General features: G+C 37.4%; 1 protein-coding gene across 13 annotated transcripts in view; it reads right to left on the reverse strand.

Moving 5' to 3' along the window:
- Positions 1-3,195: 3,195 nt before the first annotated feature.
- The window catches only part of MPP7 (MAGUK p55 scaffold protein 7), a 284,211-nt gene continuing 275,280 nt past the window's right edge, over positions 3,196-12,126 (reverse strand). For 11 of the 13 annotated variants that reach the window (XM_047424647.1, XM_011519338.3, NM_001318170.2 and 8 more), the window contains 4 exons: positions 11,853-11,946; positions 10,698-10,806; positions 8,683-8,826; positions 3,196-6,447 (listed from right to left, as the gene is read on the reverse strand). In XM_047424647.1, coding sequence (XP_047280603.1) covers positions 6,268-6,447; positions 8,683-8,826; positions 10,698-10,806; positions 11,853-11,946 — 527 coding nt within the window. In that variant the 3' untranslated portion in view covers positions 3,196-6,267. Of the gene's footprint in view, positions 6,448-8,682; positions 8,827-9,848; positions 10,053-10,697; positions 10,807-11,718; positions 11,947-12,126 lie in introns of all 13 variants that reach the window. The other 2 variants (NR_134518.2, NR_134517.2) reach the window with 2 other exon arrangements.

A 12,126-nucleotide genomic window follows, 5' to 3' on the forward strand; every position in this document is an offset into this window, starting at 1 on the left:
TGTTGTTTTTTGAGACAGGGTCTCACTCCATCTCCCAGGCTGGAGTGCAGTGGCGTGATCAGGGCTCGCGGCGGTGACTTCCCAGGCTCAAATGATCCTCCCATCTCAGCTTCCTGAGTAGCTGGGACTACCAGTGCTCACCACCATACCTGGCTTTTTTTTTTCTTTTTTCTTTGTAGATAACGAACGGGGTTTCACCATGTTGCCCAGACCGGTCAAATTCTTAAAAAATAATTACTTAACTGATATTTACGTACATTTATATTGCTTCCTTCCTTCTTCCATCCTCCATTATTGTGACATCATCTAGATTCCTAATAGTAATATATTTTCATAAGTTTTTACTTTATGCTACATTGCATCCCTTTAACATTTACAGCAATAGATGTTTTGTAGCTATATTTTGTAGTTATCCAAATATATTTCTATTTAGAACTTTTCTATGTTTAAGTGAAACTGATTACCACAAACAGCTTATCTACTACTAAGCAGCAATGCCTGGCACAGAGCAAGGGCTTAACAAATGGAACCTTTTGGTATAATTCTTGCCCTAGTCAAATTAAACAATTAAACAAGCATTACTTTGTTTGAAATGGTAGACTCTGCAGTGTTTAGTCAGCCTTTTAATTTATAACATATTTTGAGTGACTAATAGAACACAACCATCATAAATTTGTAAATCCAAAAACATTAAGGAAGAACAACTTTTTTCTGAACTTGAATTTTAAGGTTAAATTGTTATCCATATTGAGCAGGAAAAAGAAATGAAATCTGAGAAAAATAAAATTTAAATGGAACGTCTTGCATTGGACCATTCTATAGAGTGTATTAACACTCAGTAATTGTATCATTGCAGGGTGTGTGACCACTGAGCAAAAGGACAACCTTTGCTAAGTGAAAAGTAGATATTGAGAATGGCCTGAGTTGCTCATGAATACTGTTTCAAATTAGGAGTGCTTTCAGCAGCAAGGAAGCAATGACTTAAACCATCAGAACTTTTTTTTTTTTAATTTAACAGTTAGAGGAAGGAAGTCCCAGGATTGGTTCAGCAGTTCAATATTATGGATTTAGGATCTTTTTCACTCAGTCATCCTTAGTACATTGGCCTTTATCATCCTCTGATGTAGGGTTAGGATTATGGCCGTCATATTGACAAGCACCACAACTGAGCATCTCAAGCAGAAAGATGAGGGCAGGACTATAAAGGATTTTCATTTCATGCAGTTGTTTCTTTACATCAGGGAAATGTGTCTTTCTCATGGCTCCTCCAACAGACACGACCTCAAACTGGTAGCATGACTGGCCCAGATAAATCACTACAAAAAGGAGATTATCATGATTGACTGAGGCCAATCTTGAGTAGGGACTGGAACTCAGGCAGACTTAACAGAAAATTTCATAGTATGCTATCTAAGGTTTTTATACATTTCTGATAATAGCCATTGTTTGAAGAGGAACCCACTTATACAGGCATGGATACATCAAGTTGTATCTGACTAAAGCAACAGTGTTTTGAGAAAATTATTTGCCAACTGCATGTGCATAAGTATGAACAATCATTCCTCTAATTACCCAAATCTTAACCTGTTCCCAGCTTTACCTCAAGTTACAGAAACATGATAAAGCACAATGCAGTGGAAACAGCGTGGAGCTGGAGGATGCCAGACGACATTCCAGCCCTGATTCCACTGCTCATCACCAATGTCACCCTGGGCAAGGTACTCCAGCCCTGCTGCTCAGTTTGCTCCACTGTAAAATATGAAGATAATATCTTCCATGTAAGATAGTTGTGGGATTAAATGAGATCATGTATGGAAATTATAAAGATGTTCTATGATTAATAAGTACAATTTGGCCAGGCAGTGATTAGGCCTGTGTATGTGTATAAGATAGCTGTTACAAAAGTAAAATATTTTCTGTCCTCCAGAAGCTTAAGTGTAACTGAACACGCATTTGGGGATAAAACGGTGGCAGTAGAAGAAATGGCATTAATACAACTAAGGGACATTCCTTTCTAATTGTTATCAGTTACACTGCATACCCAGTGGTTGAAAATAAAAATTGGTTCACTTCCTATTGGGGATTACCTAATTAGTTCCTGATGTGTCACTTGGTAGGAAGCTATGAAATTTTTAAAAAAATGATAAAGCTTCTGGCCAGGCCTGGTGGCTCACGCCTGTAATCCCAGCACTTTGGGAGGCTGAGGCAGGCAGATCACAAGGTCAAGAAATCGAGACCATCCTGGCTAGCAAGGTGAAACCCCATCTCTACTAAAAATACAAAAAATTAGCCGGGCGTGGTGGCGGGCGCCTGTAGTCCCAGCTACTTGGGAGGCTGAGGCAGGAGAATGGCGTGAGCCCGGGAGGCGGAGCTTGCAGTGAGCCAAGATCGCGCCACTGCACTCCAACCTGGGCAACAGAGTGAGACTCCATCTCAAAAAAATAAACAAAAAAAAAAATAAAGCTTCTAAAAAATGATTTATTGTAAACTTCCAGTGGGCTTACTAATAGGAAAACTGTTTATGTAGGGTGATTGAGAATACTTACACAGCTATTTTTAAATTGTGTGATGTGATGATAATGACCATTATACAACAGGAGCTCACAATTACTGAACACTTCTGTCCCAGGTTTTGTTCTAAGTATACATGGATTCTTTCATTTCATGCCCACACCAATCCCATGAGGTAATCACTGTTCTTGTCCCTATTTTTTTCTGATGAGAAAATGAAAAACAGAGAGGTTCAGTGTTTTTCCCAAGGCTGCAGAGCTGGAAACAGGCAAAATCAGAATGTGAACTGAAGAATTCTGACTCCAGATCCCATGCTCTTAAATGCTTTTAAATGCTCTTCAGAGCAACCTTTCTATGGATGCACAGCTGGGGCTAACTGGCTCGAGGACTGAAGCAAGGCCAATGCTAGCTAGTTTGCATAGCAGATGACAATCTGTTCCTATATGCACAGTTGAAAAAGTTGAGTTTCGCCTAACTGGAGCTCAGGAAGAGGATATGTGTGACACTGATTCCTAGTGGGAGGGAGGGAGAGGAGGTGGGGAGTGGGGGAGGTGTGTTCCCATCATTGATGGTCCTAATTCTTCCTTCCCACTAAGGTTCTCCACATTTTTAAATTGCTGGAATGTATGGGTAAGAACAACACTAGTGAATTCCATCTCTCCAACAGCCTCGATGAAAGCAGTGTTTGATTGAAAAAAATATGAAATTTAATTTTAGACATGGCAAGTTCAATTACATCACTTCATATCACAGTAGAAAATATAATTTGTTCTACCATGGGAAATAGTATAATGGAATAGATCACAATAGTAGTATAATAAAATAGAATATCCAAGTGCAAAAACAATTTTCAAGTAAGTACACACACTGTTTGAAGGTACTTTATTAAGATCAAAGATTTTTCATTACATTTATTTATAAATCCTTCCTAGTCAAAATAAAATAATAAAAATCTGTATCTTTAGAAAGAACATAGTTTTGTAAGTCTGAGAAGGTTATGTTTGTCAGTTTCAAATTATTACAGTTTAGATACATTCAATCATTACACAATACCAGGAAGGTCAGCCTTAAAGATACCAAGAACTTCCATATTGGTCAGTAAAATAAGGGTAAAAAATTAAATTTTACTTTCACCTTTTTATGTTTGATTGACTACAGTCAATAATAGGAGTACAGAATTTACTTTTTGGTCTTGATTTTTAAATATATGAATTTTAAAAAGTGAACGTTCCTCTTCTCTTACATAGTGGCTCCAACTTAGGGAGCTGGCTTCTGGAGGGAGGAGTGCTATTCTCCTTGCTGGAGAAGGAGGCTGGGGGAAGAAAGTACAGAATTCAGGGCCTTTTTGCTGCCGTTGTCAATGAACTCTCGGAGTTGGCCCTGCCTTATTAAATTTTAATCAATTATCTTTCTAAGCATCAAGATGGCCATGTAAACACTGTTTTTAAGACCACGTCTACCGGCTGGGCACGGTGGATCATGCCTGTAATCCCAGCACTTTGGGAGGCCAAGGCAGGAGGATTGCTTGAGCCCAGGAGTTCAAGACCAGCCTGAGCAACATGGCAAGACCCTGTCTCAAAAAAAAAAAAAAAAGTATACTACCTGATTTCTAAAATTACCAAAGTGCCCCCTTTTCCCCCCATTATTTAAAAAATATTGTTCTAGCTCTGCGCTTAAGGTCTGGACCTTTCTTTTTTAAAATGTTATATTTTTATAACATCTTATTATTACCACCACCAAAAAAGGACTCAGTTTCTCCCACTTTACACTATATCTCTGTCCCCAAAGTAAATAACTGAAGCAATTATCTGCAATTTTTTTAAAATGTGGGTATTTCAGGGTAAAGAATTTGGACTGCCTAAATTACTCAGGTGATTGCCTGAATTATTACATATGTCCCATCATTCTTTGTACAAGAAGTCTTGATTTATAGAAAATTTCAGACAATGTTCAAAGAAGGAAATATGCTACCCAAACAATCTACTTAAGACTTCAGGTTGGCAACCCTCCCTCTTTCATTTTTTAAAAACAAAATTTTTTGCTATTTAATTAATACACTTAGAACTCACTGTCTGGATCACGTTGTTATATAATACTTAGTCTGATTATCTATTTTGGTGTGACTATGTGTCAAGGCCATTGGAGTGGTTTTTGTCTCTGCTTCTAATATGAACTTGACAAGTATGAAGGAAAACCAGTGAATAATGCTATCAAATGTGCAGTGCACAGATCGCACACTTGGATCTATCTTTGTAAAGCTCAAATATTTACATGGAATGTTGACCATGATTTATAAAACTACTCTTTTAAATTAGGACATCTTGACATACAATCAGTTTATTTTATGAATAGCCCCGTTTGATATTTAAAAAAATATGCCTTTAAAATATTTCATAAATATATAGAATTTTACTACATTCTATTTTTTTTCACATGACATTTAAACTCTCTTTACAAATCAACAAAAAAATAACATTTTTTTTTCCACTTTGAAAGTCACAGATGCAATGATTTTCGACGGGCAGGGCTTCACTGCATGCAAGAACGGCAGGATATGCTCTCTTATAGAACGGATAGACATTTCTAGCATTTTGAATTATATAATTCACTTGCTGAAAATCAGTAGTATCAAAGAAAAGTGAGAGAACCCATCTAAATATTTACAATATAAGAGTCTTTCCTAAACTTCTTTAACAATGGCAAGGTTAGGATGGTGTCTGGACAGTGTTAACAAGCATTTTGATGACAAAGAAATAACATCACATGAAAAGTTTTCTAAAATAAATCTTAGAGCAATTTAAAGAGGGGTGATCTATTGCACATAGATGAAAAATAATCTTTAATTGTATCAGTAATATGTAAAACAGGTTTTACATGTTTTAGAATAGAAATCCTTCTTCTAATTTATTGGAAAAATCCAAAACCAGCTAAAATAACATTTTGGGTGACTTCATAAATTGTCTTCTGAGGAATTACAAATAAAAATATCCTTTGTAATCATTTCTTGCCACAAGGCTACCATTCTTACTTATATTAATCCCAAAGGAAAGGCTTTTCGTTACATATATAATAACTGTTAAAAGTCTACTTTCCCTTATTAAATGTTGTTGAGTCACTGACAGGTACTCAAAAGGACTTCTCAAGCTATATTATGAAGGCCATTCACTCAAGGTAAAATTTCAGTTACTCCTTTAAGAATTATTTTAAAATGCACACACTGTGAACGTATTGCGAATATGTAAGAAAGTCTACACTTTTTGAATAGTAAGAGGACACCTTACTGCCTGCCCGGCTAAATCTGTGATGATCCACCCAGAAACAGCAGAGCTCACCTGTCTGTCTGGAGCTGCTCATGGCTGCTGAATTGATACCTTCAACAGCTAACATTCAAACTCGACAGCAGCAGCCACACCTGAGACCAGCAGAAGCGCTGAACTCCCATACATACTAAGCCTCTAGCTAAGTCTCTCTGAAAATTTCAGCCTCATCTTGGAGATAGAGCGGTATTGAAGACAACGAGAAGGTTTGAGGTTTTGCTTAGAATACAGTACTGTGCATATTTTGATTTCGGATCTTATACTAACACATGGCGTTTGAAATAAGGCTGTAAAAAGATACAAACAAAACCAGCATTCAACTTGAACCAAGATTGTACATCTATGACAGTGATATAGATTTAAAAACCCTACTACCAAAACTGTAATTGATTTCATCATGCACTCTATAGAAAAAGACAATTATGGAAATTTCTCTTAGTTATGAATGTAACCAGCTCACTGGCACCCAATGGGTCTCTGTCTCTAATTTGTCAAAAGTTGTTTTGAGCTCATTGAATGCCACAGTGAGGTCATCATTTATTATAATTTTGTCAAAAAGATGACCATATTGACTTTCCATTATCTGTGCAGATTTAATCATTTCTTGAAAATCTTCTTCCTACAAAAGGAAGTATTAAAAAAATAATTGGTTAACCAGGCCATTACCTCACTTCATATCAATGCAAACATTCTACAATTGGTTTACCTAATGCTGTTCTGTGTTCAGTCTTTCCCCTCAGCCAGAAATAAAAGTCATCCTCTTTAACCACAAGTGCTTCAGAAGCCATAATTTCTAATACTATTTCTATGATTTGCTTGTAACAAAAAACTACTCTGGCAAGAGTCAAAACTCCTGCCTTAACTGAATTGCAGGATAATGAGTCACTAGTCATCATTATGGGGAAATGTCAGTATTAAAATAGCTATTGGAGAAAAGAATTGTTTACTCTGATGTTTTGGCTGCATTATTTATGCTTATTCATAGGAAGGAATTTATAATATAAACTCCTTTTTCAGAGTTGGACAAATTTGTAAAAGGATGATTACCATGTTTTTTGTTTTTTGTTTTGAGATAGAGTCTCACTCTGTCACCCAGGTTGGGGTGCAGTGGTGCAATCCTGGCTCACCGCAACCTCTGCCTCCGGGGTCCTAGCAATTCTCCTGCCTCAGCCTCCCGAGTAGCTGGAATTACAGGAGCGTGCCGCCACACCTGGCTAATTTTTGTATTTTTAGTACAGATGGATTTTCTCCATGTTCACCAGGCTGGTCTGGAACTCCTGACCTCAAGTGATCCCCACCTGCCTCGGCCTCCCAAAGTGCTGGGATTACAGGCATGAGCCACCACGCCCGGCTGATTACCACGTTCCTTCGATGTCTCATTAAAAGTGTTTCAGGAGCCTTCGTGTCTCACATTTTTAAAGCCAGGAAGTATTTTAGTTGGCTATATAACATAAATGTAAGAGAGCCAAATCCTAAGAATATGTGATCCTTTCTTATCTTCGTTGAGAAACCTTTAAAATGTCTAAATAGTACAATAAATCTTTATGTTGCAACATGCTGAAATAATTTGAGTCTGCATTTCATTGTCACATAAGATTTCACAATAACAGAAAATTTAATTTTAGTGTTGATCAAGAGCCTGAGTAACTAACATTGTATGACAGTACCTACTCAGAACGGATATGTACTGTTGGCATGTAAAAAAAGGTATTTATCAAATATACTGGGAATCAGAAATGTGATCTGTATTTTGTAACCACAATGAACAGTTCATAAATTAATATAAACTAAAGTTAATGATGAGCTAATTAAGAGGGGCAAGAAAAAAATAAGCTCTTCACATTTAATTTCTTTGCTTTTGATTTTTGGTCCAAAGGTAGAATATATTAAGATTAAGAAGAAAAACAATAAAAGGTCTTGCCAGAACCCATAATAGTCATGAATATACCACAATCATCATTTCCAATAACACTCATAGAAAATACAAATATTATTGCTGAATAATATTGGTCTACTTATCCTATACCCAAAATAGTGATTTTCTTTTGCTGTGCTAAATATAATTGTTGACACAAGGAGACAAGCAAGGCACATTATTAAATTTTTCATTTGGACTCTTAATGAGTAACAGTTACTGATGGTATTTTTAGCTTTAAAAATAAGGCTGCTCTGAAAATTAATTGGTCTAGATTTTATACAAATGTTCAGCCTACAATAGTATGAAATGTTCACATAATAGTATACAAAATAGTTTTGAGTCAATTGAATATGAAGATCCATTCACCAAAGCACAAGAAGTGTAACTGTTCAAAAGGTATGTACCTAAATACAATTCTTTCACTGATTTTTGTATCTATTATACTCTTCCCAAGTACATGCAGCTGTATATATGTTTTCATATATACAACTGTATCTTACATCTTATCTACTGCTTATATCTTATCTCCAAGCTTTTTGTGGTTGTTGTTGAGACAGGGTCTCACTCTGTCGCCCAGGCTGGAGTGTAGTGGTGTGATCTCAGCTCACTGCACTCTCAGTCTCCTGGGGTCTTGTGATCTTCCCACCTCTGCCTACCAGGCTGGAGTGTAGTAGTGTGATCTCAGCTCACTACACTCTCAGTCTCCTGGGGTCTTATGATCTTCCCACCTCCGCCTCCCAAGTAGCTGGGACTACAGGTGTCCAACCATCATGCCTGGCTAATTTCCATATTTTTTGTAGAGATGGGGTTTCACCACCTTGGCCAGGCTGGTCTTGAACTCCTGGACTCAAATGATCCTCCTGCTTCGGCCTCCCAAAGTGCTGGGATTACAGGTGTGGGCCACCACACCTGGCCCCCAAGCATCATTATACTTACTGTGAAGGGTTTTGCAGCACCTTGGTCATCTCTGCTTGAAATAATCTTTGCATTTTTTCTTGTTTCTCTCAAACGCTCTATTGATGGAGGCTTTATAAATATCACATAGGGCTTAAATTCTAGTGTCCTTAAATGCTTCACTGTCTACAAGGAAGAAAAGAAAGTTTTCTCACATTTCTCCATAGCATCATGAATTACTGAATTTTCTTTCTAGGAGAAAATTCCTCAAAATTATTCTTTAAGGTCAGTAGTCATTTCAATATATTATTATTCAATTAACTGTTGACAATTAAATGTAACAAACACTTCTGAAAAGAAGCTGGGGAATGTAACTTGGCATTTTAAAATGTTCTGAAATACATCATAATTAACATTGAACAGAAGTGACTAAAAATATCACAAAACTGGTTTTTAGATCAAATATTCCAAAGGTGTGATGAGTTAAATAACTTTCTGTCCACAAATGTCTTCCAACCATCCCTTTTAAGCCCCTTTCTGATTTCAGGCAGGAGTTCTCCTCTTTCACCCTATCCTTCAGAGTACCCTACAAGGGCAGCCTCCTGCTCTCCATGATGCCTGTCTAGATTCCTTCATCAAATCTTTGATGTTCTATACTCTATACTTCTGGGGACCTATCTACAGAGGGTGAGAGCTGAAAGTTATTATTCATGAGCTGATACTACACTGTGGGAGTCTGACAGCAACTGGACCTGGGACACCAGCAGAGAGGCTCTGCATAAGCAGGACTGTCCCATTCACTGTTGGTGCCTGATATGGTTTGGATCTGTGTCCACACCCAAATCTCATGTTGTAATGTAATCCCCACTGCTGTAGGTGCAGCCTGTGGGAGGTGACTGGATCATAGGGGCATTTTCCCGGGGTTTAACACCATCCCCCTTGGTGCTGTCATCACAATAGTCAGTTCTCGTGAGACCCTGTTGTTTAAAAGTGTGTGGCACCTCGCTCCTCTCTCTCTCTTCCTCCTGCTCTGGCCATGTGAAGTGCTCAACCCTCCTCCTTTGCTTTCCGCCATGATTGCAAGTTTCCTGAGGCCTCCCCAGAGCTGAGCAGATGCCAGCATCACGCTTCCTGTACAGTCTGCAGAGCAGTGAGCCAATTAAACCTCTTTTTTTTTTTTTTTTTTTTTTTTTTTTTTAGTAAATTACCCAGTTTCAGGTATTTCTTCAGAGCAGTGCAACAAGGGACTAACACAGTGCCCAAGTCAGGAGGCAGCCTTCCTGATTCTTGAAACACTTTTACTCCAGATTCATCTTCCTTTAGAGGTCCAAAGGGCTTCCGCAGGTCATTCTAGCATTTGGAGGTTTTGCACCCCAGGGTACAGCCATCAGTGGAAGGAGAAACCATGGTCCCTGGGGGATGAGGAAAATGCTGTGGGCTGGGGATCTGCTGGAAGATGTATGGTTTGATAGGGAATTGAATGGCCTCATCCACTGAAGTTCTCAGTTCAGAATGTTCATAATGGAGTTTCCAGGATGACAGGTGCAGACATGGCAGTTGCAATGGGGCTTTCATTCAGTACATTTCCTGCAAAATGCCCTTCAGTTCTAGTGGGGGGTTATTTGCTAGGATATATACAGAACCAAAGTCAAAGACTTGGAACCAAAATGTCCATCGTTAAAAATTATAGACACTGTTACTAATACATAACACATAAGAATGCATTATGCATGTAACAATGTGATGTATTTTTTAAAAATACAGAATATGTAGAAACATCTAAGAGTTGCTTTACTTGACAAAAACTGAATATAAATAAGAGTTACAAACACAGGTCTTGGAGCTTCCTCCACTTCTCTTTCTAATAATATTATGGGCTTTTCTTTTTCTCCACCAAAGATGTCTCCAATTATATTTAAATGCTTTTGCCATCTCAGAAAAGCCACATATATGCCAAAAGTGAGTTGACTTCATATTATTTCATACTGAAATGCTCACATGAGGTGCTGTAGATGACATGGGTCAGAAGGGTATTGAATAGCTCATTGTTTACTTACATGAGGCTGAACATCCAACAAACAAACTTTGTTTTTAGCAAGGACAGACCGAACTGAGTCTATACTTGTGCCGTAGTAGTTGTTTTTATATTCTCCATATTCAATAAACCTGTAAAAAATTAAATGCATTGGAATCATTTGTGAATTTAAAACAATTATAGGTGGCAAGATAAAATTCATAGGTAAAAGACGTTTCTGCTGAACACGTAATTTTTTTAAACTGTGTTTAATAATATAAACAGAGCCAAGTATTTCAAAATGTCAGTTTTTAAAAAATCTTTTATTATACATTTTCAAATCAGTAACACTTGCTTAAATTACACTTAAGCAGAAAAAAAGTACTTTAGTCTAGTAGGGCTCTAATGTTTTCCATCACCCCCTTTTTCTTCAGAACTAATGCAATGCAATAAAATGGTGAATAAGCCAAACAATAGAAACTACTGGAATTTCATTGCACGCTACGGAGTAACCCAGCCCAGCTTCAGAACTAGAGGCGCTGGGTGGTGGCTAATGGAGCCAGGGCAGTCGATCATGTGCTATAAAAACACAATCACTGCGCCAAACACGAAAAAAGCATTTCGATGTTTTAATAAAATCCCACAATCCTGCATTAAAACACATATTGCTTCTGATAGCCTAAAATATTTGTGCCTCAGCAGATGGAAAACCTGGGCAGGGGGCACTGGGGTGGGCTTGGAGCTAGCTAGAGAAGACGGTACCAGCAAGTTAATTATCATCATTTCAATTTTTTGAAGAGCCAATGAGAGAATGAGATGCAGGTGTGTGAAGCAGACGCTGGACCTAGTGATATACTACATAGTTGTTGGTTTTTGAAGTAAAATTCTATCCAAATTACATGTTAAGATTCAATTAGTGGGCTGGAAGGAGGTCAGAATAAGACACTTGCAACCTTCCCTCATTCTGCAAAGCAGTGTCTACACATTTTATAGAAATGAAGCAAATCCAGGTTACTAAAAAATTAGAGGTGAAGATTAACAATAATTACCAACCAAATTATTACCTTTTCATCTGTTTCAAATATTATTATGATAATTAAAATACACTTCAAATGGAGAACTCTCAGTTGTCTAAAACGGGACAGGCATGTGCTTATAAAAAACAGTCACATGAAAATTCTCAAAAATGTCCACATACTTGTTATTTTGTACATCTGTCTCAAACAAATGCTTGGAAATGAAAATGTATTCAACACCATCACTCTCCTGGCTTCTTCTTGCTCTGGTGGTATCTATGATTTAATGAAAAGGAGTTTAGAAAAGCCCACATCAGCCACCTTAAGGAAAATACTAAAAAAGAAATCAAGGGTATTTAATTAGTTTTTTCAACAGGATTTAAAAATGTATTTAAAAAGCAAATTAGCTAATAAAATACAGTAAGCTGTTATAAATCCAGATTTTCCACTGTTATT

Source organism: Homo sapiens, chromosome 10, assembly GCF_000001405.40.
Source record: "Homo sapiens chromosome 10, GRCh38.p14 Primary Assembly".
NCBI classification, from domain to species: Eukaryota; Metazoa; Chordata; class Mammalia; order Primates; family Hominidae; genus Homo; species Homo sapiens.